The sequence below is a fragment of the Homo sapiens genome, chromosome 8 (assembly GCF_000001405.40).
Source record: "Homo sapiens chromosome 8, GRCh38.p14 Primary Assembly".
In the NCBI taxonomy this organism is placed as follows: Eukaryota; Metazoa; Chordata; class Mammalia; order Primates; family Hominidae; genus Homo; species Homo sapiens.
This window is the reverse complement of record NC_000008.11, coordinates 95059140-95084627: the sequence shown is the minus strand read 5'-3', so window position 1 is coordinate 95084627 and position 25488 is coordinate 95059140. Positions and strand designations below refer to the sequence as shown.

At 42.7% G+C, this 25488-nt stretch overlaps 1 protein-coding gene, 3 long non-coding RNA genes and 2 other non-coding genes across 10 annotated transcripts in view, besides 1 other annotated feature; 3 read left to right on the top strand and 3 right to left on the bottom strand.

Annotated features, from left to right (window-relative positions):
* The window catches only part of NDUFAF6 (NADH:ubiquinone oxidoreductase complex assembly factor 6), a 222698-nt gene that overhangs the window by 33869 nt on the left and 163341 nt on the right, over positions 1-25488 (bottom strand). For 2 of the 4 annotated variants that reach the window (NR_148914.2, NR_148913.2), the window contains one exon: positions 8876-8995. Coding sequence is in view for 1 of the 4 variants with exons in the window: in NM_001354534.2 (NP_001341463.1) it covers positions 8933-8995 (63 nt within the window). In the remaining 3 variants the exon portion in view is untranslated. Of the gene's footprint in view, positions 1-7814; positions 8996-25488 lie in introns of those variants that run through there. The other 2 variants (NR_148915.2, NM_001354534.2) reach the window with 1 other exon arrangement.
* Positions 11140-11239: a silencer, noted in NCBI's record as "silent region_19379". NCBI's record gives its function as "represses an Ori minimal core promoter by ATAC-STARR-seq in GM12878 lymphoblastoid cells {active_cell/tissue: GM12878}" and the evidence as "EXISTENCE:reporter gene assay evidence [ECO:0000049][PMID:35858748]".
* On the top strand, positions 11446-17820 carry MIR3150BHG (MIR3150B host gene). Of its 2 annotated transcripts, none has more exons than NR_132986.1 (2): positions 11446-11699; positions 15393-17820. It is a non-coding gene; the product is annotated as an MIR3150B host gene (long non-coding RNA). The 2 variants fall into 2 exon arrangements; NR_132987.1 differs by lacking the exon at positions 11446-11699 and adding an exon at positions 11708-11911.
* Positions 11632-11717, top strand: MIR3150B (microRNA 3150b). Its single transcript, NR_037484.1, has one exon. It is a non-coding gene; the product is annotated as a microRNA 3150b (primary transcript).
* On the bottom strand, positions 11635-11714 carry MIR3150A (microRNA 3150a). The gene has a single exon (NR_036105.1). It is a non-coding gene; the product is annotated as a microRNA 3150a (primary transcript).
* On the top strand, positions 12375-13979 carry LOC124901980 (uncharacterized). The gene is made up of 2 exons (XR_007061013.1): positions 12375-12882; positions 13811-13979. It is a non-coding gene; the product is annotated as an uncharacterized LOC124901980 (long non-coding RNA).
* On the bottom strand, positions 18930-20524 carry LOC124901981 (uncharacterized). The gene is made up of 2 exons (XR_007061014.1): positions 20345-20524; positions 18930-19904 (listed from the first exon to the last, which is right to left on the bottom strand). It is a non-coding gene; the product is annotated as an uncharacterized LOC124901981 (long non-coding RNA).

Below are 25488 nucleotides of genomic sequence, written 5' to 3'. Positions count from 1 at the left end.
TTGGTACCCAAGGATGCTGAATAGCACGTATTGGAAAGTGACGCCAATGTGTTTTAGCCAAATCACAAGTTAACTCTAGCCAGGTGTTGGACTCAAACCAAGGAGAGACTAAGGATGCAAAAAACAATATGAAGAGTAAGGTATGGACTTTCTTTGAATCCTAACTTAAACAAAGCACTAAGTTTTAAAAAATATGATGAGGCAGTTGGGAAGATTTAAACACAGATGACGTTTTCTAGTATTAAAAAATTATTTATTTTTTAAAAGATGTGGTAGTAGTTTTTTAAAGTCTTTATCTTTTAGAGATATGTACTGAAATATATATAAAGAAATAATAGGGTGTCCAAATTTTGATTCAAAATAACTAGGGGACTTAAAAATTCATTAAATGGAAAATTTTTGCATTCACAATAGAAAAAAAATCCTAGGAATACCACCAAAAGAAATGAGAAACTTCTATGTGAAAAGCAACAAAACTTGGGTTTACTAATGTTCTTAGATAAATAAATAATGAAATAATAAATATAGGAAGAATGAATTTTTCATACCAGATTGATTTATCAAACTTACACAATTCCCAGTAAATATCCCAGTGAGTTTTTCTAAAATGTGACACATTTTTTTTCAGATTTTATCTACAACAGAAGTCCTTAATCTAAGATGCATGGATAAAAGTCAGGGGTTCTGTGATTTTGGATGGGAAAACATTATGCTTGTCTTTTTACTAGACTCTAACTGAAATGTAGCATTTTCTTTATTTATGAATGTAGGTAACGAAACATGGTCATATAAGCAGTCTCTGGGACTTTGTCTCCATTAGAAATCACAGATATTTTCGTATTACATTATGGTTGTTACAGTTATTTAGAAATACCACCTATGATCATTGCTACTTTGAGACTGTGGTAGTAGGGATGAGACCTGCTGCTAGATCTTGTAATTAATGCATTAATAAAGAAGTACATATTTACTGCATCATAAGGTTTTAAATATTTTGATGGCTATTTTTAAATTAAATTGACTTTCTTTTTAATCCTGCTTATTTTATCCGTTTAAAGTCATTATCTGAGAAAGGGTTCAAAGGTTTTAATAAAGGGAACCATAGCACAGTAAAGCTTAAGAACTGCTGTTCTAGATGAGTAGGCATGTGAAAAGTGCTAAAATTAACATTCAAGAATAATGTGAAAAAGTCTTAGGAAGTATTAAACACATTTAAAGAGCTCAAGAATTAAACAGATGCGGTCCTGATACAAAAATAACTAGATGGATAACTTATAATGATAGCTAGACTGATAAATGCTACAGAATAGCATTCAAAGCTGATCAGGTACAAATAAGAATGTAATGGATGATAAAGACAGAGCCCGTTTAGTGGAGAAAGGAAGAATTATCTACTACATGAAGCTGGGAAAATAGGCTGGCTGTTAGGGATCAAAAAAATTTTAGCATCACCTTACACAATTTACCAAAATTAATTCCATTTAGATTGAAAAGTTAAATGTAAAAACAAAGACAGATAAAACCCTGAAAGAATTCTAAGGAATATGGGTCAAGTGCAGTGGCTCACACCTGTAATCCCAGCACTTTGGGAGGCTGAGACGGGAGGACTGCTAGAGGCCAGGAGCTCGAGACCAGCCTGGGCAATACATACAGACTCTGTCTCTACAAAAAAACAAACAAACAACTCACGTCTGTAATCCCAGCACTTTGGGAGGCCGAGGCGGGGGATCACGAGGTCAGGAGATCGAAACCATCCCGGCTAAAACGGTGAAACCCCGTCTCTACTAAAAAATACAAAAAATTAGCCGGGCGTAGTGGCGGGCGCCTGTAGTCCCAGCTACTTGGGAGGCTGAGGCAGGAGAATGGCGTGAACCCGGGAGGCGGAGCTTGCAGTGAGCCGAGATCCCGCCACTGCACTCCAGCCTGGGCGACAGAGCGAGACTCCGTCTCAAAAAACAAAACAAAACAAAACAAAACAAACAAACAAACAAACAAAAAGAATGCTAAGGAACACATGAACATATGAAAGCTCCTCCCACCCCCGCCCCTACCACAGGAGAGAGATTATTTCATAAAACAGGAAATCCAAACTATTTTCATAAATTCTAGGTATCTGTTTGGAAATCATACAGTGTATTAAGTACCTTCGAGTGATTCTGAACAGAAGGAGATGATTCTGACAGTATGAGAATACAGCTGGGCACCAGGGCCTCTCTATTTACTCCTCACACCCTCCCATCCCAACAGCAGCAGCACAGCACCCACCCCATTTCCTACCATTGCTGCACTATTAGTTTTTCTTTTTTATTTTTTTAATGAGACAGGGTCTCGTCATGTTGCCCAGGCTGGACTCAAACTCCTGGGCTCAAGTGATCCTCCTGCCTCGGCCTCCCAAAGTGCTGGGATTACAGGCATAAGCCACCGCACCCAGCCTAATTCTTTTCTGGTTTCCACCATATGCCTCTTATTCCTCTTACTTCAGTTATTTCTACTAGCTTCAGCTTTGTTTCTCTCTTTTTCAGATTTTAACAACAGGAGTTTTTTTTTTTTTGTTGTTTTTTTTTGAGACGGAGTCTCACTCTGTCACCCAGGCTGGAGTGCAGTGGCGCGATCTCGGCTCACTGCAAGCTCCGCCTCCCGAGTTCACGCCATTCTCCCGCTTCAGCCTCCCATAGCTGGGATTACAGGTGCCCGCCACCACGCCCGGCTAATTTTATTTTTGGATTTTTTAGTACAGATGGGGTTTCACCGTGTTAGCCAGGATGGTCTTGATCTCCTGACCTCATGATCCGCTCGCCTCGGCCTCCCAAAGTGCTGGGATTACAGGCGTGAGCCACCACGCCCGGCCCAACAGGAGTTCTTAAACTAAGATGCATGGATAAAATTCAGGGGTTCTGTGATCTTGGATGGGAAAAACATTATGCTTTTCTTTTTACTAGACTCTCACTGAAATGTAGTATTTTCATTTCTCTCTTCCCTTGATTAATTTCTTTGTATTTGTGCTCTTGAGTATTATCGGAGTCCGTGGGTCATTAAATGTTTTCCTCTACCATCATCCTTCATCATTAAGGCCACCAATCAGCGTATCAGGATAGCTGAGTAAGCTGACAAAGAAGGTGGGCTGGGACCTAGATCTTTAGAATGAGGAATGCAAGACTAGCCAGGCGCGGTGGCTCAGGCCTGTAATCCCAGTACTTCGGGAGGCAGAGGTGGGCAGATCACCTGAGGTCAGGACTTAGGGACCAGCCTGGCCAACATAGCGAAACCCCATCTCTGCTAAGACTACAAAAATTAGTTGGGCATGGTAGTGCACTGTAGTCCCAACGGCTCCAGAGGCTGAGAGGCTGAGGCAGGAGAATTGCTTGAACTTGGGAGGCAGAGGTTATAGTGAGCTGAGATCGCACCACTGCACTCCAGCCTGGGCAACAGAGAAAGACTCCACCTCAAAAAAAAAAAAAAAAAAAAAAAAAAAAAAAAAAAAAAAGATGCAGGACTCAGGACTCCATGTAAACTCCCAAAGGGCGGAACCTGTGCTGACTTTTGTTCACTCTTTTGTTCCCAGAGCCTAAGACAGTGCAGCCATCAACATGCAGGCTCAGTATTTGTAGAAAGGATACATGAAGAAGCTGGAAGATCAGCACTCTGTCCTTGAGTACGAGGCTAGGTGGGCTAACATGGGGTGAGAGCACAGTGGGTGAACTGAGACATATTGGCCCAAGGGTCCAGCATCAAATCCTGGGATAACACAGCTTGGCCCAAAGCTAAGGCTCCGATTGCTGTGCTCAAACAGCTTGCTCCAAGAAAAGAAAATAAGTCATTTGGCCGGGCACAGTGGCTCATGCCTGTAATCTCAGCACTTTGGGAGGCCAAAGTGGGAGGATTGCTTAAGCCCAGGAGTTTGAGACCAGCGGGCAACATGATGAAACCCCATCACTACAAAAAATACACTACAAAAATACACTACAAAAATACACTACCAAAAATCACTACAAAAATACACTACAAAAATACACTACCAAAATACACTACCGAAAATCACTACAAAAATACACTACCAAAATACACTAGAAAAAATCACTACAAAAATACACTACCAAAATACACTACAAAAATACACTACCAAAAATCACTACCAAAAATCACTACAAAAATACACTACAAAAATACACTACAAAAATCACTACAAAAATACACTACAAAAATACACTACAAAAATCACTACAAAAATACACTACCAAAAATCACTACAAAAAATACACTACAAAAATACACTACCAAAAATCACTACAAAAAATACACTACAAAAATACACTACCAAAAAATCACTACAAAAAATACACTACAAAAATACACTACAAAAAATCACTACAAAAAATACACTACAAAAAATCACTACAAAAAATACACTACAAAAATACACTACAAAAAATCACTACAAAAAATACGCTACAAAAATACACTACAAAAAATCACTACAAAAAATACACTACAAAAATACACTACAAAAAAATCACTACAAAAAATACACTACAAAAAATCACTACAAAAAATACGCTACAAAAATACACTACAAAAAATCACTACAAAAAATACGCTACAAAAATACACTACAAAAAATCACTACAAAAAATACACTACAAAAATACACTACAAAAAATCACTACAAAAAATACACTACAAAAATACACTACCAAAAATCACTACAAAAAATACACTACAAAAATACACTACAAAAAATCACTACAAAAAATACAAAATTTAGCCAGGCGTGGTGGTGGGTACCTACTTGGAAAGCTGAGGTGGGAGGATCAAGTGAGCCTGGGAGACGGAGGTTGCAATGGGCCGAGATTGCAGCACTGTACTCCAGCCTAGGCGACAAAGCAAGACCCTGTCTCAAAAAAAAAAAAAGTCTAAAAAAATTAAAATGAAGTTATTTCTTCTTCCTTCAAGAATCAGTTTTTATTTTCCTCTATTAAGAGTTTGGTCCTATAGTTTAATTGTTGTCAATAAATTTCCTCCTTCTCTCATCCAGTTTTCTCACTGAATCTTCTTTAGTTCAATGGTTTTCAAACTTTCATCTTTAGAGACTTAGTGATTCCACAAACCTTTGAATGGAATGTCATGGGTACTGAAACTAAAAGAAAACCAAAATCATGGAGCTCTCTGATCAAAGCAACCTCACTTATCTCAGTGATGTACTTAAAAATAAAGACCTGCTATTCTTGGGCATTTACAAAGTAGATTTAGTCTAATAAGATATCCTTAATGTTTTTTATGTATTGCAAATTTTACAAAATATTTTATTTTAAAAAGAATTTATTGCCCCAAACTGGAAGCAATCAAGATGTCCTTCAATAGGGCCAGGTACAGTGGTTCACGGTGGCTCCCAGCACTTTGGGAGGCTGAGGTGGGCGGATCACTTGAGGTTGGGAGTTTGAGACCAGCCTGACCAACATGGAGAAATCCCGTCTCTACTAAAAATACAAAAATTAGCCGGCCATGGTGGCACATGCCTGTAATTCCAGATGCTCGGGAGACTGAGACAGAATTTCTTAAACAGAGGAGATGGAGGTTGCAGTGAGCCAAGATCACACCACTGCAGTCCAGCCTGGTGGATAGAGCAAGACTCCCTCTCAAAAACAAAAACAAAAAAAAAGATGTCCTTCAATAGGTGAGTAGACAAACTGTGGTGCATCCATACAATGGATGCCTGCGTGCATTATTCATCAATAAAAAAGAATGGGCTATCAAGCCACACAAAAACATGGACAAATCTGAACTGCACACTGCAAAGTGAAAGAAACCAGGTTGAGAAGCCTGCAAACTGTATGATTCCATTTATATGACATTCGAAATGATGCAAAACTAGAGAAACAGTAAGCAGATCAGTGATTGCCAGAGGTTCTGGGGAAGAGGGGAAGGCTTGAATAGGTGGAGTACAGGGGATATATATATATATATATATTTTTTTTTTTTTTAACAGAGAAAGGGGCTCACTGTGTCACCCAGGCTGGAATGCAGTGGCACAATCACAGCTCCCTGCAGCCTCAAACTCCTGGGATCAAGCAATCCTCCCCACTGAGCCTCCGGAGTAGCTGGGACTACAGGTGAGTGTGATCATGCCGGGCTAATTTTCTTTTTCTTTTTGTAGAGACAGGGTCTCATTGTGTTGCCCAGGCTGATCTTGAACTTCTGGGCTCAAGCGATCCTCCTGCCCTGGCCTCACAAAGTGCTGGGATCACAAGCATGAGCCACTGCGCCCAGCCTGGGATTTTTTTAAAGGCAGTGAAACTATTCTGCATGATTCTGTGGTGGTGGATACATGACATTATGCATTTGCCAAAACCACAGAAGTTCTCCACACTAAGTTCTCCACACTCAATGCATGCAAGCATATCAGCTGCAGAGCCATGCCTCAGGGGACCGACCCCAGCCAGAACCCTCTGAAACTCTCTCCACTCCAGTGGCCCCATGATGCCTGTGGCCTCCATCTCCACCTTTGATTCTCTCCATGGGCTCCTTTGTCCCAGGCTCACTGTTTAGCCTCTTCTCTGCCTCCTGGGTCTGCTTTATGAGTGGCCTCATATCTGTGGTCCCGTGGCTGCTGTTCACTACCTTCCTTCCGCGGCTCTCAGCTTCTTTTCCTGCTGCTGGCTCCATCTACCAAGGCAGATGTGATTGACTTGGCTGGTCCCTCACCATGAGCTCCATCTCGGGGGGCTGGCCATGCACCTAGACTGGCTTGCCTTTGGCTCATGTAGAAGCAGGATGATGAGATCCACAGCAAGCCCACCCATGCCTAAGAGCTTGCTTCTGGTCACCCTTGCACCCTTGGAGGGACAGGCACTTCTCATGACCTTTACAACCCAGAATAACATCCCCCTGGGAAATGTCCTAACACTACTCCTCGTCTCCCACAACTGAGAGTTCTATGCTTCTCCTGTCATGGTAGAGTAGTGCCCTCTTGTCCAAGGTTTTGCTTTCTGCAGTGTCAGTTACCCATGGTCACCTGCATCTGAAAGTACTAAATGGAAAATCACAGACATAAAGACTTTGTAAGTTTTAAATTGCATGCTGTTCTGAGTTCTGAAATCTGCCATTCGCTCTGTCCTACCTGGGACATGAATCATCCTTTCGTCCAGCATCTCCACGTTGTAGACGTTCCTATCCCTTAGTCACTTAGTTAGTGACTTAGTCATCTCAGTTACCGGATAGAAAAAATATAGTATATATAGGGTTTGGAACTATCCAAGGTTTCAGGCATCCATTGGAAGTCTCGGAACATATTCCCCATGGAGAAGGGGGAATGACTGTGCTTACAAGGCTGTGTTGTTCTTGCTTCTTTTCTTATTTGTCTCCCTCTCCAGACTGTAAGCCCCTTGTATTCATTTACTAAGGCTGCCATAAAAACATGCCACAGGCTGGGTAGTCTAAACAGAAATTTATTCCTCACAGTTGTGGAAGGTAGAAGTCCAAGATCAAGGTATCCCCAGGGTTGATTTTTTCGAAGGCCTCCCTCCTTGGCTTATAGATGGCCATCTTCGCCAGGTGTCTTCACATGTGTGCACGTCTCTGGCTTCATCTCCTCTTCTTATGACATCAGTTATAGTGGATTAGGGCCCACTCATATGATTTCACCTTAATCACTTCTTTAAAGGCCCTGTCTCCACATACGGTCACACTGTGAGGTACTGAGGGTTAGGACCTCAACAAAGGCAAAAACCAGGTGCTATGAATTTTTTTTTTTTTTTTTTGAGACGGAGTTTCGCTCTTGTTGCCCAGGCTGGAGTGCAATGGCACGATCTCGGCTCACCACAAACCCTGCCTCCCGGGTTCAAGCAATTCTCCTGCCTCAGCCTCCCAAGTAGCTGGGATTAGAGGCATGGGCCATCACACATGGCTAATTTTGTATTTTTAGTAGAGACGGGGTTTCTCCATGTTGGTCAGTCTGGTCTCGAACTCCCGACCTCAGGTGATCCACCTGCCTCAGCCTCCCAAAGTGCTGGGACTACAGGCATGAGCCACCGTGCCCGGCCTATGAGTCATTTTATACTCAGCATTCAGGGCCATAACTGGCACACAGTGAGCACTCAATTTTTTAAAAGGAAGAAAAAGACGAAGAGAAAGAACACAGGCAAGAGGGACAGTTCAGGGCAGCTTACACCAAGGTGTGGAAAAGGAGTGAGCAGGACTCATGTAAAGGAAATACAGAGACTGGCACGACCAGGGCAAAGTGTTCATTCTGGAGTGGGAAATGATGTTGATGGCTAAGGTCAGGCCCAATTCTTGAAGCCCTGAGTGCCTGGGTGAGGTGTTTGGAATTTACCCTGTGAGTACCACAGCTGCCCTGAGAGGTCAGGAGCAGAGGAGGAACTTGAGGTAAATTGTATGTGAATATTAGTGAAAAATCTAGCATTGGAGAGCTTCTGCCTAGAGATACGCAATTTTTATTAATAATTCCAGAAAATTGTGAATTGTGTGAGGAAGGAGGGAACTGCCTCTTTCTGGTCAAAGGTTGATTTTTCTAATGATGTCACATTAAGTAAAAAGACCATTGAGACCTCATGTAAAAATTGAGCCCTTTTATGATATAACCAGGGCAATTTCTAGGAGAGGTGAGTCACCACTCTTTAGAGATTTCAAAGCCCCGGAGTCCACCCCACCAGCCTTCTGGGAGATTCCAGCAAAGTGGCTCTCCTTTCCTGATTTTGATTTTGTGTAGTTGCCCAGTCTGGCTCACACTAACATCGACCTGTGTTTGTCAAAGATTCTCCTCTGGTAATTCAAAATAGCGCAAGGAGAAGTGTGTGCGTGTTCGAGTGAAGCAAGATTGGCCTAGAGCTAGTTAAGCAAGAAGGTTTCCAAGCTCAAGTACCTGGAGAAGTGCGCATGCCTAGAACCAGAGTCCTTCAAATCTCTCTCCCAGTTGGCTTCATTTTCCCAGGCTGGCTGGCTGTGCAAGACACACGCCCTGAGTGTCTGCATCCTTAATTTCCTGCAGAGAGGAAAGAGGACACTTATTCACCAAGCCAACTAGAAAATTCTAGGGAAACATTCCCATGCCCCGAGAGATGCTTATGGTTGGCCTGGGGAGGATAAAATCCCAGCTCCAAAAAGGGAGTGCTAATCTAGGCTGACAAAATAATAAATGTCTGTTTGGGGGCATCAGAGAAATATTGTTTTCATTCCAAGCATTTTGAGACTGTGTATTTGGCCCTGGTGACCTGACAGACTGAATTTTCCTGTATGGTCCTAATTTTATTTAATGTATTTTTTTCTTAATAAAGATGATTTTAAGTGTATAACTAAAAATGACATTATTGTATGCTTTTGTAAATTTCATCTGAATGAATGAATTCACATATCTGAAAGTCATTTGTCACGTCTTGTGTCCATGGTTTAGAAACCTGGTGTATTGCTCCATTTTAGAGCACGCTAGAAAAATCAGCAGGAATCTCTGGACTGTTCTGTCATTTGAGCTCTTTCATTTGTCTGTTGACCCACATGAATGGGATCCTTGTGACCCTGGGTTCTGCTTGTCAGCTGTCCAAGTCTGGGCCGTTGTTGACCTACCAACAATCAGTGAGGGATGTGTTTGCTTACCAATTGAGAAATAATGTTTTTCACGTTAGACTCTATTTGAGGGGTGGGGTTGCTGGCTGCCTGATAATCATTCCTGCTTTCTTTGAATGAAATTTTTGAGGTTGTAAAAGAAGGAATTTGGAGTTTGCAAAGCCTAATCATAACATGAGGCCCTTGATCTAAGGGCTCTCCAATGGGCAGTGGCAGGTGGGATCGCTGGAAGGAGGAATCTAAGGACAGGAAACCAGTGAGGAAGTAAATGTAACAGAGAAAATCCACATCTGGGATTAGACAACAGCAGTGAGAGTGGAGAGGAAGAGATGAGTCTGAGAAACAGTGAACAAGGAATCCACAGAACTTGGTGACTAAGTGGAGGGACAGAGAAAAGAGGAGGGGGAAGTCAAAATGGCTAGATGGCTTCTAGTCTGTGACAGAGGCAGAGGAAATGCTCTGCTATTCATAGAAATGGGGAAGTTAGGAGGTAGTGCATAAGGCTGTACAGTTTTAGACATAGGACATTGGAGGAGATGGAAAGTCATCTTCAGGTGGTTAGAAACCCAGGGCCACTTTTGGTTGGTGTTCAGGAAGGGAAGTGCAGAGAGGTGGAAATCTCAGCCACAGGTCAAACACTTCCCTGGCCCCAGATTAAAGACCAATCCAATTAAGCATGAGAGCACACGAGCCACACAAGTCGCACAAGTCAGTAACGAAAAGGACTCCCAGGTGATCTTAAGTCACATAATTAACATATTTTCAGGGCCCTACTTGTATGTGGCCCTGAAAACGTTGAGACTAATCAGCTGGAATATATCCATTTTTTTTTCTCCTTCTTTTTAAAACCTTATTATAGAGAATTTTAAAAATATACAAGAGTAGAAATAATTCTAGAACGAACTCCCATGTTTTCATTACCCAGCCTCAACAACGATCAAATCATAGCCAACCTTGTTCCATCCCAACCCTTACCCACTTCTCCCTGCGTTATTTTGAAGCTAATTCCAGACATAAATATTTCAGTCTGAATTTCTAAAAATAAGGACTCTATCCTTTAAAAATAAGCACAATGCCATTATCATGCCTTAAAAAATTAACTATGGTTTCTTATATCAAATATCAAGTCAGGTTCAAATTTCCACTAAAGTTTTAAGTTTCCATTAAAAGCAGTTGATTTGAATCAGGATTCAAATTAGGACATCAGGTTGGGATTGGTTGGCAGGTTTTAAAGTCTCTTTTACTCTTTGGGTTTCTCCCCTACCCTCTGGAGAGAGCTCCCCACACCGTGGCTTTGCTGACTGCATTCCTTGGGTGGACTTTCACTTGTGCCTCTGTCCTCGACATGTCCTGTAAGCTGGAAGCCGGGATCAGATTCAGATCCATTTTTATTTTAAGTGTTATGCAAAAAGACACCCAGTGAAGGTGTTAGAATGAGCCATGGCAGTGGATGGGGTTCGCAGGACCCCTGCGGAAGGGGGACGTTTAAGGGGCAAGCGGAAAAGGAGACACCTGGAATGGGGGAGGAGGAGCAGCGGGGCGAGGCGGGGGCGGTGCCGCGTGGTCTGCGAGCCCGGATATTCCCTGGGGAGCGCACCTGCGACTTCACCTCCAGTCCCTCCCCGGCTGGGGCAGCGGGGCGCGGGCGCTCGGGAGAGGTGGCGCTGCCTACTCGGCCTCATCTTGCTGAGAATGCGACGGGGCGACAGCTTCCTGTCTTTTCCAGTGGCTTTTGGCATCCCCAGAGGAAAAAACGGGGAGACCCGCTTTGGCCTCAGGAAGCGCAGAAACACTGTCCTGGCTGCGCGCGCAAGGGCGAGAACCTAGGGGACCCGCCTAAAGCGCCGTTGGGGCTGAGCACCGAACTCGCACAGCTCCGGGCAGCGACCCGCGATGCGGCATCCTTCCGTCCGGTCGGAGCCCTCCTAGCCCTCAGCGCGTCTATTCCTAGCTTCGGTCCCCGCAGCCATATAAGCAATGACACCCTCGCCGACTCGCCTGCCAGCTTGGCCGCCTCCCTGCAGAGGGCTGACGCTTCTCCAGAAGTTGTAAGAAAAGGAGGGAAAGCAGGCCAACCTCGAGGATCTCCCCAGCCTTGGCGTTCAGGTGCTGAGGAGATCGTCGAGGTTGGCCTGCTTCCCCTCACTCCTCGGGCCTTGCTCTTCCCCCAGGTGCCCACTGCCCTCCCTGCTGTGTACCACTTTCTTGCTGCCTGTGAAGGTATTTGTCCTCACTCTTGTGCTGCTCCTTCAATGATAGAACTTTGGGACTTTCTCATCCAGCAGCACCAGCCTGAAAAAGCAGTGGCTTGCACCACCACACACATACCTGGTCTCAGGTGGGTGGATCAGGGCAACTTGGCCACTAGTGCCCCAGTAATGCCCATCTGCCCAACCTCAATGCAGGAGCAACAAGTATTTCTCTGTCTTGGAGAGATCTAGAAAAAGGCTGAACATACCACGAGGGTGTTGCTTCAGAAGAAAATGCTGGTCAGGGTTCCAAGCCATCATAGGAACTTGTGAGCTGAGAAACATGGTCAACTCTACTCTCTCTCTCTTCTCTACCTACCCAGGCAGCCACAAATCTCAGTGTCAGTCACTGCTTTGGTTTGACATCTAAGGGCTCTGTTACAAGGGTAACTAAGATGAGTACCAGTAGATGCCCAATGACACTTGTAAACATGAAAGTGTATACCAGTATAAAGGATGCTGCAGCCTCAGCCTTGAAAAGTAAGGCTTTTAGGGAATGAAACAAAGGATAGTCAGGTTCTTAGGGGACAGGGAGGGTTCTGGCATGGGGAGCAGCCCTGGGCAGGTCTGGGGGTGCTGCGAAGTAGGGCACCGCAACATAACGGCCCTGTGTCTTAGGTGGCCAGGAAGGGGAAGGCAGGAGATACAGAAGGAAAGGAAACTAACATTTTATTGAGACAGGCATTGTGCTGGTCCTGAGGTTTATGCGAAGATTAATTTCTGGGGGTGAGAAGGTAAAAAATGATGAGGTGGAAACCAGCATCTTCTGTTACTCCCATCTGTGCAGAGTTAAAGAAGACTTGAAAGAAGGGGATGTGAGTGGCAGGAAAATCCCCAGTGACCGGCCCTGAACCTTCTGCCAGCGCAGCTCACCTCCTCCCCAAATGCCTCCCAATAGGATCTCAGCCCTAAACAAGCACAGGGCGTGGGGTGGTACAGATGATGATGTAGCTGCTTCTGAGATGCCCCTGGGCGCTGCTGGAGCTGAGCCCTGGGACTGGAATGACTTTTGCCCGCTGCCCTCAAAATTCCCACAGGCCACACCGCTACCACCTCTTGGGTAAAGTAGGAGGGACACATCTCCACCACCATCCAAATTGTTACCTAATGAGGAATTTTGCCAGGAACTACTTACAGCCCAATGGAGCCAGGCTGGGTATTTCCAGGACATGAGCCATTTTCTCTGTGCCCACTAAACAGGGTGCAGGTCCCTGAAGCCCTCAGGGAAGCTGCAAAGGTTACTGGGGTCGGCTCTGGGGCAACAGCTGACCTCTTAGCTCCCACTGCAGGCGTAGGAACCTCCAGGACAGCCTGTGGGGGTGGTGAGTCTGCAAAGCTGGCTGGCTAATGAGGGTGCAGTGCTGGTAGTGTCTGCCTTATGCTTTTTTTTTTTTTTTTTTTTCTTTTGGAGACGGAGTCTCGCTCTATCGCCCAGGCTGGAGTGCAGTGGTGAGATCTCGGCTCACTGCAAACTCCACCTCCCAGGTTCACGCCATTCTCCTGCCTCAGCCTCCCGAGTAGCTGGGACTACAGGCGCCCGCCACAATGCCCGGCTAATTTTTTTTTTTTTTGTATTTTTAGTAGAGACGGGTTTTCACCGTGTTAGCCAGGATGGTCTTGATTTCCTGACCTCGTGATCCGCCCACCTCAGCCTCCCAAAGTGCTGGGATTACAGGCTTGAGCCACCGCGCCCGGCCGGTTGCCTTATGCTTTAATATTAATCATATGGTATGAACACATGCAAAGCTAGCTGGTTTTACTGTTTAGGAAAGTAGATTTAATTTCTATGTGATCTGGATTATCACCATTATTATTTCCTTGGTATAGAAATTGCTTTTTACTGCTTGTGTTTTTCTAAAATTATATTCTCCCTCTGACCAAGGCAAGTAATAAAGGGCAGATGACTCGGGGAGGGGAGGGGAATAGGAAAAAAATCATGGGAGATATGCTTCAAAACCAATAGAGAGTTTTTCTGTTTTTAATTTCAGTTGAATTGCAAAGCAAAGACCCATAGAAGTGAACTGTGATACCAGAAATTCTCTGCCCAGCTTGAAGTTGTTGATATATTATAATCCTTATGTGTGACGTTAATGGTTTTAGTATATATTATCTGCCATCTAGCCTGTTTATTTCAAATATAGCTTCTGAATTCATGGATTTTTATGTGATTTTTGTTTTGTTTTATGTATATCTTTTTAATTTCATAATCCAAAGTGGAAAGAAACTCAACACTCATTTTTAGAAGCTCATTCTCTGAAGTTAGAAGAAGTAAAAATGTGTTTACTTTCTTAAATTTGTTTGATAACCTGAAATCTTAAAGCATCCAAGATGGAAAATATCAAATTTCAAAGCTTAATGTTAGCAATATTCCAAAAGATAAAATCTAGTGACCTGGTTTTCTCTGAAAGTGACACAGTATGTATATAAATAGATTAAAATGGCAAACACATATGTACACTTAGTAAGTGCCAGCCACTATTTTCGGCACTTTACAATTATTAACTAACTTAACCTTCATGATAATTCTAGGAAGTAGGCACTATCACTAGGCCATTTTACAGATGAGAAAATGAAGGCACGGAGAGGTTAAATGTAATAACTTGCTAGTGGTCAATCAGTAGGCAGTAGAGGAGCCAGCATATAAACCCAAGCTGCCCAGCTGCAGAACCACATTCTTGTCCCATATGCTATGCCTCTCAAAAAAGGAGGCCCTCTCCTTGGGACACAAAGGTAATAAAAATGCCTGCCCTGAGCTGTGTCTCTGTCTAGGTACACAGTTCATGAGTGAAGGAGCTCCTGGAGTCATGAATAATGGAAGTCCAGATTGGTCAAGTAACTTGTCCCAGCCCCAGCCTATGCATCTGGTATGTGGCTGGACAGGTTTCTAACTCATTATGTAACATCAAGAACATTTTAAACTGCTTTGAGACATTTGTGAATTAAGATCTTTGGAAAAAAATAATATTATACATATATATTATATATATATATATTTATATATATATATATAATTTTTTTTTTTTTTGACGCGGAGTCTCACTCTTGTCACCCAGGCTGGAGTGCAATGGCATGGTCTCAGCTCACTGCAATCTCTGCCTCCCGGGTTCCAGCGATTCTCATGACTCAGCCTCCCGAGTAGCTGGGATTATAGGCGCCCATCACCATGCCCAACTAATTTTTGTATTTTTAGTAGAGATGGGGTTTCACCATGTTGACCAGGCTGGTCTTGAACTCCTGACCTCAGGTAATCCTCCCACCTTGGCCTCCCAAAGTGCTGTGATTACAGGCGTGAGCCACCATGCCGAGCCAATATTTTATAATTTTAATTCAATAGAATTTTTAAAGACCAACTATGTGAAAGCAGAGCTTTAAAGCAAACCATCATACGAGTGCATATAAGGTGGTAGCAGTAGTCTTCTGTAGATAATGCAACTCTTACCCCCCGTAGTTTTTAAATCTAACAGATAATTGGGATTATGCATACAAAAGTTTACAAGTGTGATTAATATTGCTGATATGCTATGTGCTCCATAACTGTTGTTGTTTGTTTACCTCTGTGTCTCCCATTAGATATAAGCTCCATGAGAACAGCCACCTTGTTTACCTTGTTCATGGATACAGAACAGTGCCTGGTGCTCAATAAATGAACAGTGAGTGAATAAGTGAGTGTTGAGTCATCTAAGTGAGCTTAGATGAACTGACAATGAGACTGTGCACAATGAAGAGAAAGGAGGACTCTTGAGGAATTCCACCAGCTTGAAGATGGCTGAAGAAAGATGACAGAAAGCAATCAGAGGGATGGAGGGCAAACTAAGAAAGCAGAGTCAAGAGTAGGAAGATTGGGAAGTGGTAGACAACATTAGGAAATACTGCAGAAAAACCTAAAAGGATGAGAATTAGGAAAGACACTATTGAATTTGGTCTTTGGGGCTGAAAAAAAAGGCAGCTGCAGAAAAGAAATTGGAGTGGAACCCCATTTGCACAGAAATTATGGAGTAATTAGGACACCAGGCAGAAAGTTTGGCAATGAATGGAAGGAGAGATGACAGCCTTGGGCATTCGCTCGCAGAACGCAAGGACATTCATTCTTAATTCAGTAGAAAAGTGTCGTGTTGTTACTGTCTCAAGTGGAAGCGCCCTCTCACTCCTTCATTGTCCTAAGAGAACAAAAGGGGCCTTGAATTTCATGACTGCCCCAGTGATGCTTCTGAGAGCTTGAGCTTTGGAATCAGACTGCCCACATTCAAACCCCAGTTCTTCCTATTGCTGGCTGTGTGATTTGGGGAAAATTACTTGATTCCCTAAGTTTTCTCATCTGTGAAATGGGGATTCACTCAGTTAGTGAATATTATTCAGCTCCTACCATGTGCAGACACTGTTCTAGTGGGGGATTCAGCATACCAGCAGTAAATGGATCTCTGTACAATGCCAAAAACATGAAGCCAACTATTCATAGTATTTTTAAGTGATATCCTGGTGCTGCTTCCAGGAAGATGGAGTAGATATACTTTTCCCTATTGCTCCCACTAAGTACAACTAAAACCCTGGACATTATGTATAAACATGCATAAGAAGATGCTGAAAGGTGGTAAGAAAGCAGACTGGCCAGGGACTTTGCGATCCAAGGAACAACCTGGTGATGAGTTTCCTGTACCCCAGACTTGGGATAAAGGAGCTGGCAACCCAGAAATGCCAACGGGAGCAAATAAAAAATCCCCAACAAAAGCCTGTTTCTCTAGACAAAGGACTAGGACAGGGGCAGCCTAACAAAACAGAAAACTCTTAGTAACAACTTACTCCAGCTAAATAGCACAGAAAAACCTATGGTCCACTCCCACCCACACCACCCAAGGGTGTGGGAGTCCAGGCTATCACAAGGGGCCTCGCCTCCACTGGTGTGGTATCGCAAAAGCCACAGGGAGCTGGTTCTTTCATCCCCATCTGACAAAAGGCTCCCACCCCCATGGTGTCAGCGGAGACCACACTGGGAGCCTGAACTTCCACCCACTCACAGCTGTAACAAGGCAGTCCCTCCACCTCCCTGCTGGGGTGGTGTCAGAGGAGGCCAAGTGGAGAGTCAGGACTTTCACCATAGCCCAGTGACAATGAAGCCACCTCCCTATGGTGTCAGTGGAGGCCATAAGGAACAGTAACGAGGTCTAGTGGGAATCCAGAACTGCCACCCTGCCCAGCAGTAACCAGGAGCCCCTCCCCTCCGTGTGGACAGAGGCCAAGTGCTGAAGCTGGACTTTGCTCCCCCTAGCCCTGCTAGGTGGCTATTAGAACAGCCAGCTAAAACTGGTTTCACCAAGACAGATTTAGGAAGACAGTGCCCCGGGCAGGAAAATGAAGGCACGGAGAGGTTAAATATAATAACTTGCTAGTGGTCAATCAGTAGGCAGTAGAGGAGCCAGCATATAAACCCAAGCTGCCCAGCTGCAGAACCACATTCTTGTCCCATATGCTATGCCTCTCAAAAAAGGAGGCCCTCTCCTTGGGACACAAAGGTAATAAAAATGCCTGCCCTGAGCTGTGTCTCTGTCTAGGTACACAGTTCATGAGTGAAGGAGCTCCTGGAGTCATGAATAATGGAAGTCCAGATTGGTCAAGTAACTTGTCCCAGCCCCAGCCCATGCATCTGGTATGTGGTTGGACAGGTTTCTAACTCATTACGTAACATCAAGAACATTTTAAACTGCTTTGAGACATTTGTGAATTAAGATCTCAATAAATAGTCCTCCCTGGCACCAGCTCCATCCACATTAAATGAGACTTGAAAATTTCTTTGAATGGATATTAGTTTAGAAGGAGCTAAGTTATTAGTTGGCCTCACATTCCTCAGTTGGGCCCTGGGCCCAGCATGCCACTTCTCCTGGTTATTATGGTTCACATCTGAGGTAACCCATCGGGAAACTGGATGGGACAACAAACTAAAAATGTTTTAGTTTGGACCTGTCCAAAACCAAGAGAATAAAAACAAAATGGATAGTCAAGATGATTCAGAGCTATGGAATGTGTCATTTTTGCTCAGAAGCGTGCTAACTTGCAGTGTGGTTTATCAAAGCCTTGAATTTATCGTCTTCCTTGTTTCTGCTGCCTTTTCACTGTTAGAAGAGGGAGAAGGAGGAAAACAAAAAAGGAAACCAAAAAGAGAAAATGCCTTATTTTTCTCATTCTCATTAAACACAGTGAAAGAGAGAACTGAAGGGATTGACTGAAATTTGATTTTCCTAGACTCTACCCCACTTTAGACAATGATTTAAAAAACCTAGATTTATGAAAATGATCAAGTGAAGAGTGACTACCCACTTCAGAGTTTTTATTTTTAATAAAAGGGTTTTAGGAGAACTTTTTTTTTAAAAGTGATTTCCTTTATTTAAAATACCCTTCATGCTGGGCACAGTGGCTCACACCCATAATGCCAGCACTTTGAGAGGCCAAGACAGGGAGATTACCTGAGCCCAGCCCAGGCAACATAGTGAGACCCTGTCTCTCAAAAAAAAAAAAAAAAAAAAAAAGCAAGCAAGCAAGCCAGGCATGATGGCACATGCCTATAGACCCAGCTACTTGGGAGGCTGAGGTGGGAGGATCATTTGAGCTCAGGAGTTCAAGGTTATAGTGAGCCATGATCACTCCACTGCACTACAGCCTGGGTAACAGAGACCCCATTTCTCAAAATAAAATAAATACCCTTCAGGCTCAGATATATATAGAAATTGAGTACAGATATATGCTCAGAATGGCTTTTCAAATCTGATGGTATTGGCTTAAGTGGACAACCATCTGTGGATGCATACTTCACACCTTGCTTCAAATTCATTCCATGTGGATCTAAATGCAAGAAATGAAAACATGAAAGTACTAAAAGAAATCGTGGGAGAAAAGGTTTTATAAACTTCAAGGGGACAAATATAAAGAACTAAATCAAAGGATAAACAAATGGATTTTAAATATATAAAAGGTGCTCAAATTCACCCATAATAAAGGCAAATGAAACTATACCTAGAAGTGACAGAAGTATATAAATCCCATGTTCTATCCCACCCTAAAAATCCTTATCAATACTAGCAAAGGTTATGCTGGCTTTTCAGAGAATATTCCATGGGATGGTGGCTTAAGCAACTTTATTTGGTTATTAAAGGAAAGGTAGACCTCATAAGGCTGGGAGGCCTTAAGTACATTTGGATTATAACTGCAAAATAAGAGAAAAGAACATACTCCCACTAAATAAAACATCTTCTACAGAAAAATTAAGAATATTTTTCTAATCTCTTCTTTTCTACATTATATTACTAAATTAAAATGTAGACTAAAAAACAATATGTAGAATGTACTTATATGTATGCCAAGGGGGAAAAAAATAGAGGAGGACATAGACCAAAACGTTAATAGTGGTTGTCAGTAGAAATATGTGGAAATTTTTCCCCACCAGCAAGCCAGCAGTTCTGCAGCGGACACCAGCCAGGGGACTTCCCATTTAATTCCAGCACTATTTACCTAGAGATAGCGTCAGATCCAAGTTGAAGGCTCAGGCCCCAAGACTGCTCCCTATTTCCCATACCAATTGCATGCCCAAGGTTGTTTTACCTGTGCTTCTGACCAAACATCTATAAATTGGGGTGTCCATGACTCCTTCCTTGGGTTCAATTAATTTGCTAATACCTAGGCTCACAGAACTCAGGGAAACACTTGTTTACTGGCTAATTATAAAGGATACAGATGAAGAGCTGCATGGTGACATATGGGGGAAGGGGCATGAAGCTTTCATGCCCTCCCTGGGAGCTCCACCCTCCAGGAACCTCCACATGTTCAGCTATCTGGACATTCCAAACCCTGTTCTCTTGGCCTTTTATGGAGACTTCATTGGATAGGCATAATTGACAACTGTGCAGAAATATGAATGAACAAAAAGGGTATGATCTAAGCTCGTAGACTGAGGAAACCCAGCAAGGCCCGTCCGTTTAGATTCTTCTTGGCTTCTCTGAGGAGCATTCCTTCCCCCAGCGTATGAGGCAGCACCCCTTCTGAAATGGGAGTCTTATCACCCACAATCAGAAAGGTGAGGGAAGATTAGAGTCTTGCCTTGAGAAAAAAAAAGGAGCAGGTGAAGGGAGAGCAGAAGGTCAGAGAGATTGTTTTCCGAGGCCTGCTTCTGAGGCCTAAAGCACTCCAACATTATAACAAAAGACTGTAACAAGGGCTATGGGAGTTATGAGCCAGAAATCATGCACACGCACGCGCGCACACACACACACACACACACACGAATAAATGATAATATCACAGTGGCTATCTCTTACCTGGTGAAATTATGGGTGACTTTTAAAATATTTTCCCTTTACACTTTTGTGTTTATTTTTTCCCCCATGATTTTTGCAATGAACACATGGGAGTTAGTTGTGTAAGAAGAAAATAAACATATTCATTTTTCAAATGACCTCTTAAGAAAGAGTGTATTACAAATTCCCTCAAAGCAAGATTCAAACAGATCTATTTCTAACATCTTAAATGGAACAACTTACAAGAAAGGGGTGCAGGCAGCGTCTTTATGTTGATTAACTTGAGAAATTTCTTAATCAATTTAGAAAACTGACATCATATAAAACTGCAACAAGAGGCCGGGTGCAGGGACTCACGCGTGTAATCCCAGCACTTTGGGAGGCTGAGGCGGGCAGATCACGAGGTCAGGAGATCGAGACCATCCTGGCTAACACGGTGAAACCCTGTCTCTAGTAAAAATCCAAAAAAAAAAAAAAAAAAAAAAAAATTAGCCAGGCGTGGTGGCGGGCACGTGTAGTCCCAGCTACTCAGGAGGCTGAGGCAGGAGAATGGTGTGAACCCTGGAGGCAGAGCTTGCAGTGAGCAGAGATCACGCCACTGCACTCCAGCCTGGGTGACAGAGCAGGACTCCGTCTCAAAAAAAAAAAACTGCAGCAAGAAACAAATATAGGACATAGCAAAATAGCTTCTCAAATCAATGTTGTATTCCTAAAGAATCCTTGTGACACCCATAAAAGAGATCCTGAGGTTTTAAAAAAAAAGCTCTTGAACTTACTCCCTGAGAAATTCATTATGTAGGCCTGTGTTTAAACACACAGGATATTATTATATAACTAAGCAGCTGGGAAGATTAATCGTGATTAAAAATAAAAGGGAAAACAGAGTACACCAAGGCAGGACTGTTTTTTTGTTTTGTTTTGTTTTGTTTTGAGACAGAGTCTCGCTGTGTCACCCAGGCTGGAGGGCAGTGGAGCGATCTCGGCTCATTGCAACCTCTGCCTCCTGGGTTCAAGCGATTCTCCTACCTCAGCCGCCTAAGTAGCTGGGACTACAGGCACCTGCCACCATGCCCGGATAATTTTTGTATTTTTAGTAGACAGGGTTTCATCGTGTTGGCCAGGCTGGTCTTAAACTCCTGACCTTGTGATCCACCCACCTCGGGCTCCCAAAGTGTTGAGATTACAGGCGTGAGCCACTACAGGAAAACAGTATTTGTGGAGGGGAGTAAAATGTCAACCCACAGAGTTATCAAATAACAATAAAAACATTCTATCTCATATCTGATTCAAAAGGCACTGCTTATCTAAAGATATGATTAAATTAGAAACATTGTAGATAATCTCCATTAGGATATACACAAAATACATGTGTTATGGACCACCTGTGGAGAAGTGCTTGTTTTCAAATCTCATGTCACTCTTAAAATCCAAACACCTTAATGTGGCCTATGACTTCCTTATCCTTCCAGCCTCACTTCTTCCTCACTTTGCTTTCCAGCTGTACTTAACAACCTGGTTTCTTGAACGTCCCATGTGTTGCCCAGACACCACAGCTTTGACACAGACTCTTCCAGTTCCATCTTTCTCATATCCAGTTTGTACTTCACACATCAGACAGAATCCCCATTTACATTTCCTGAGAGCCCCCAGCCCACATTATACTACAGCATGTTCATTCGAACCACAAAGATTTTTGGAGCAGCAACAGGATCTACTTTAGGTTCTGGGTATACAAAGACAAATAAAACATTGTCTTACACTCAAGTAATATGGCTAAGTGAGGGAGAAATGTCTAACTAGTTAAAAGACAACAGGCATTTTGGGAGAAAGCATGGCTGTGCTTTGTGAAGTCAGCCTCAAATTGCAGATCCCTTGTTATTTATCTACCATTCACCAATTTTCCTGAACCAATTGGTCACAAGCACAAGTATTTAGAGTAAGCAAGTAACATGAATGTTTGAGTCAGGCTGAGTTTGAGATAATAGCTCATGCCTGGACCTGTGGCCAATTGGAGAGGACACATCCTGTCTAAAACATTCAATTTCTCATTCTTTTTCAAATGCCACTCTTGCAAAACAAAATATGCCTGCAGGCCTAATTTGGTTCAGGCTTCCAGTCTGTGTCTTTTGTACAATATTAACGTGTGTTTTTTACTAGATGTAGGTCACTATTCTAAGCACTTTACATGGAGAAATTCACTTATTCCTCACAACCACCACTGAGGTTGATATGATTTTGCCTATTTTACAAATGGAGCAACAGAGGTTTGGGGTAACTTGCTGAGGTTACACAACTCTTAGGGTGGCAGAGCTGGGACTGAACCCACACAGGCTCCTCTGGAGTCCAAACACAATTTTTTTTTTTTTTTTTGAGCCACGGTCTCTGTCGCCCAGGCTGCAGTGCAGTGGCGCGATCTTGCTTGGCTCACTGCAACCTCCACCTCCTGTGCTCAAACAATCCTCCCACCTCAGGCACCGGAGTAGCTGGGACTACAGACATTGCCACTATGCCCAGCTAATTTTTATATTTTTTGTAGAGATGGGGTCTTGCCATGTCGCCCAGGCTGGTCTTGAACTCCTGGGCTTAAGGGATCCACCTGCCTCGGCCTCCTAAAGTGCTAGGATTACAGGCATGAACCACCACGCCCAGCCCACACTCTTAAAAGTACTTCACATCACTGTACAATACTCTACTGTCCTGTAGCTAATAACTCTTTGTATCTTTCAGCGTATACTACAGAATGAGTTACATATTAAATAATTTATTGTGCCAAATATTCCTTTTTGCTGAACAAACTCTTAACTACTATATACTGATAGGATAGAAAATGAATGTCTACCTATCTATTTATTGTTCCATAAATTTAATCACCTTCGCATTCTACAAGCATCTTTCTCATTTGGAGAGTCCTAACTTTTAAGAAATAACTTTGTAGTTTTCCAAAAAATATACATTCATTATAGAAAAAAGTAGGTAAAATGAAGTGTCAAAATTATTTTAATGCATTCCCTCAACTCTTCTCCCCTCCTTCTGACCCATTTCCAACACCCTTCCCAATTCTGGACCTGTGTTCCTTGCAGGAACAAACAGTAGGATGTTTTGTTTTATTTTCAGTAAAGAACCACATAATGTTTACAACTGTAAGGATCTTTCTAGACAAGGCAATCGATTAAGCCAATATCTTCAGAAAAGTCCAATTTATATGAGCTAAAACAAATCCAAGGGCACCTAGGGATTTGCTGAAATGGAAAAAATACAAACTCGCAAGTCTCTGATCTTAATTCAGTGTTTCAGTAGATCAGGGGATGTGGTCACTTTATTCACAAACTTTCCTAAGAACTCTGAACATTCTGTTCTTTTTACATAAGTTAAAGGCAAAAAAATCAAGAGTCTTGACATAGACCATCCATTCCGTTTCCTGGCCTTTGTACACACTGCTTCTTCAGCCAGGACCTCCCCACAAAAACGTCAACAACCCCTCCCCAAGCCCTGGGTCCTACCCAATCTTCCTGACACTATTCACATGCCATCTCCTCTGGGAAACCTTGACTGCCAAGCCGGTGAAGCATCCCCCCACACTCCCCCACCATATACACCCAGTGACCAGCACCTAACACCTATTTCGATTGTCTATTTCTCTCTCACCTAATTTGTAGTTGGAACTTATGTAGTAATTACCTTTTTTAACCTAATTTGTATCTGAAATTTAAGCAGTAATACTTATTTCTAAAAAATGTGCCTTTGAGCTTTTAAACTTGGCAGTTTACTTGACAATCTCAAGAATGGTAAAAAAATAATGGGCTTTGGGCTTTGGCATTGAACTAATGTGGATCTGGCATCCAGCTCTAGTACTAATGCCTCCATGACCTTGAACTTAACATCTCTGAGACTGTTTTATCATTTGGAAAATAAAGGCCTACTTCACTATGAGAGTTAAAGCATAAAAGTGCGAAGTACACCACCTGTTCGAGTTTGTGTTCAATAAGTGTTAGCTACAGTTACATTTCTCAAGAATTCAATTTCATCAAAAGGAGAGCTTCAACCACAAGGAGAGAAAGAATATTGCCAATTGAGAACTACCCAAAACTTATTTCATAATGATATGCAACTTTACCTACATTGAGAATAATCTGTAATTTATACTTAATATGTTATCTGCTATCCACTTATTCAACAACAAAGCACATCTAAAATGGTTTGAAAATGTATCTGACTCCTTTAAAATATTCTAATAAAAACCCAGAGATTTGAAAAAATCAAAAAGAATGCCAGCATCATCTAAGGGAGTATCTTTTACACCAGGAAATTAATAGTACAGTAAATTTCACTGATAAAGACTCCACTTGAATCTCTAGATTGGTAACTTTAGTTCATCCAAATCTGTAAGCATCAAATTTAAAATGGTTTAGAAAGTATTTTGAAATTATTTACTTAATAAATTGGCTTCTGAGCCAGCAAAGAATCCACTAATCCAGTCGCGTAATTAAACCCTCCTTTTAAGACCCTTAGAAAGGAACCAAGACGCCTAGATGATTGCTGCCAAATTTAACTTGGGAAGACCTGCAGACAATGCTCCCTAACAAAGACTCTCTGATGAACTTTTCAACCCTGGATCACTCAGAATCCCAAGAGGAAACATGTCCCATTTCCTTGTATTTTTTCTTTTTTCTTTTTTTTTGAGATGGAATCTCGCTCTGTTGCCCAGGCTTGAGTGCAGTGGCACGATCTCAGCTCACTGCAACCTCTACCTCCCAGGTTCATGTGATTCTCCTGCCTCGGCCTCCCGAGTAGCTGGGACTACAGGCTCCCACCACAACACCTGGCTGATTTTTGTATTTTAAGTAGAGATGGGGTTTCACCATGTTGGCCAGGCTGGTCTTGAACTCGTGACCTCAGGTGATCCACCCGCCTCAGCCTCCCAAAGTGTTGGGATGACAGGCATGAGCCACCACGCCCGGCCCCATTTCCTTGTATTTTCATTTGAAGATAAGCTGAATGGCTCTCGAAAGCCACAGAATTAAAGAAGGGGATCTACTTTCAACATCAGTACCAACTAAGAGTCTACTAGCATATACAACCACATTGCACATTCATTCAACTATATATTTATTAATCTCTACTTGCTCTCAATCAGAAGCCATTCTAGGTGTGTGGTGGGGGTGATGTCAAGATGAATGAACAATGCATTCTTGTGCTCCAAAAGCTCTCAGTTTGAATTTGCAAAAATGTAACATTTTAAGCCACTCACAATTTAAGTAGGCACTAATTCATAGCTGATACCAAAGACTTAAATGAGAGAGCCGAATGGGGCAGGAGACAAGACTACTGAAAATACAGGAAAAAGGAAACTGGCATAATCCTGGTCCTGAGAGTGAGATTCATTTAGA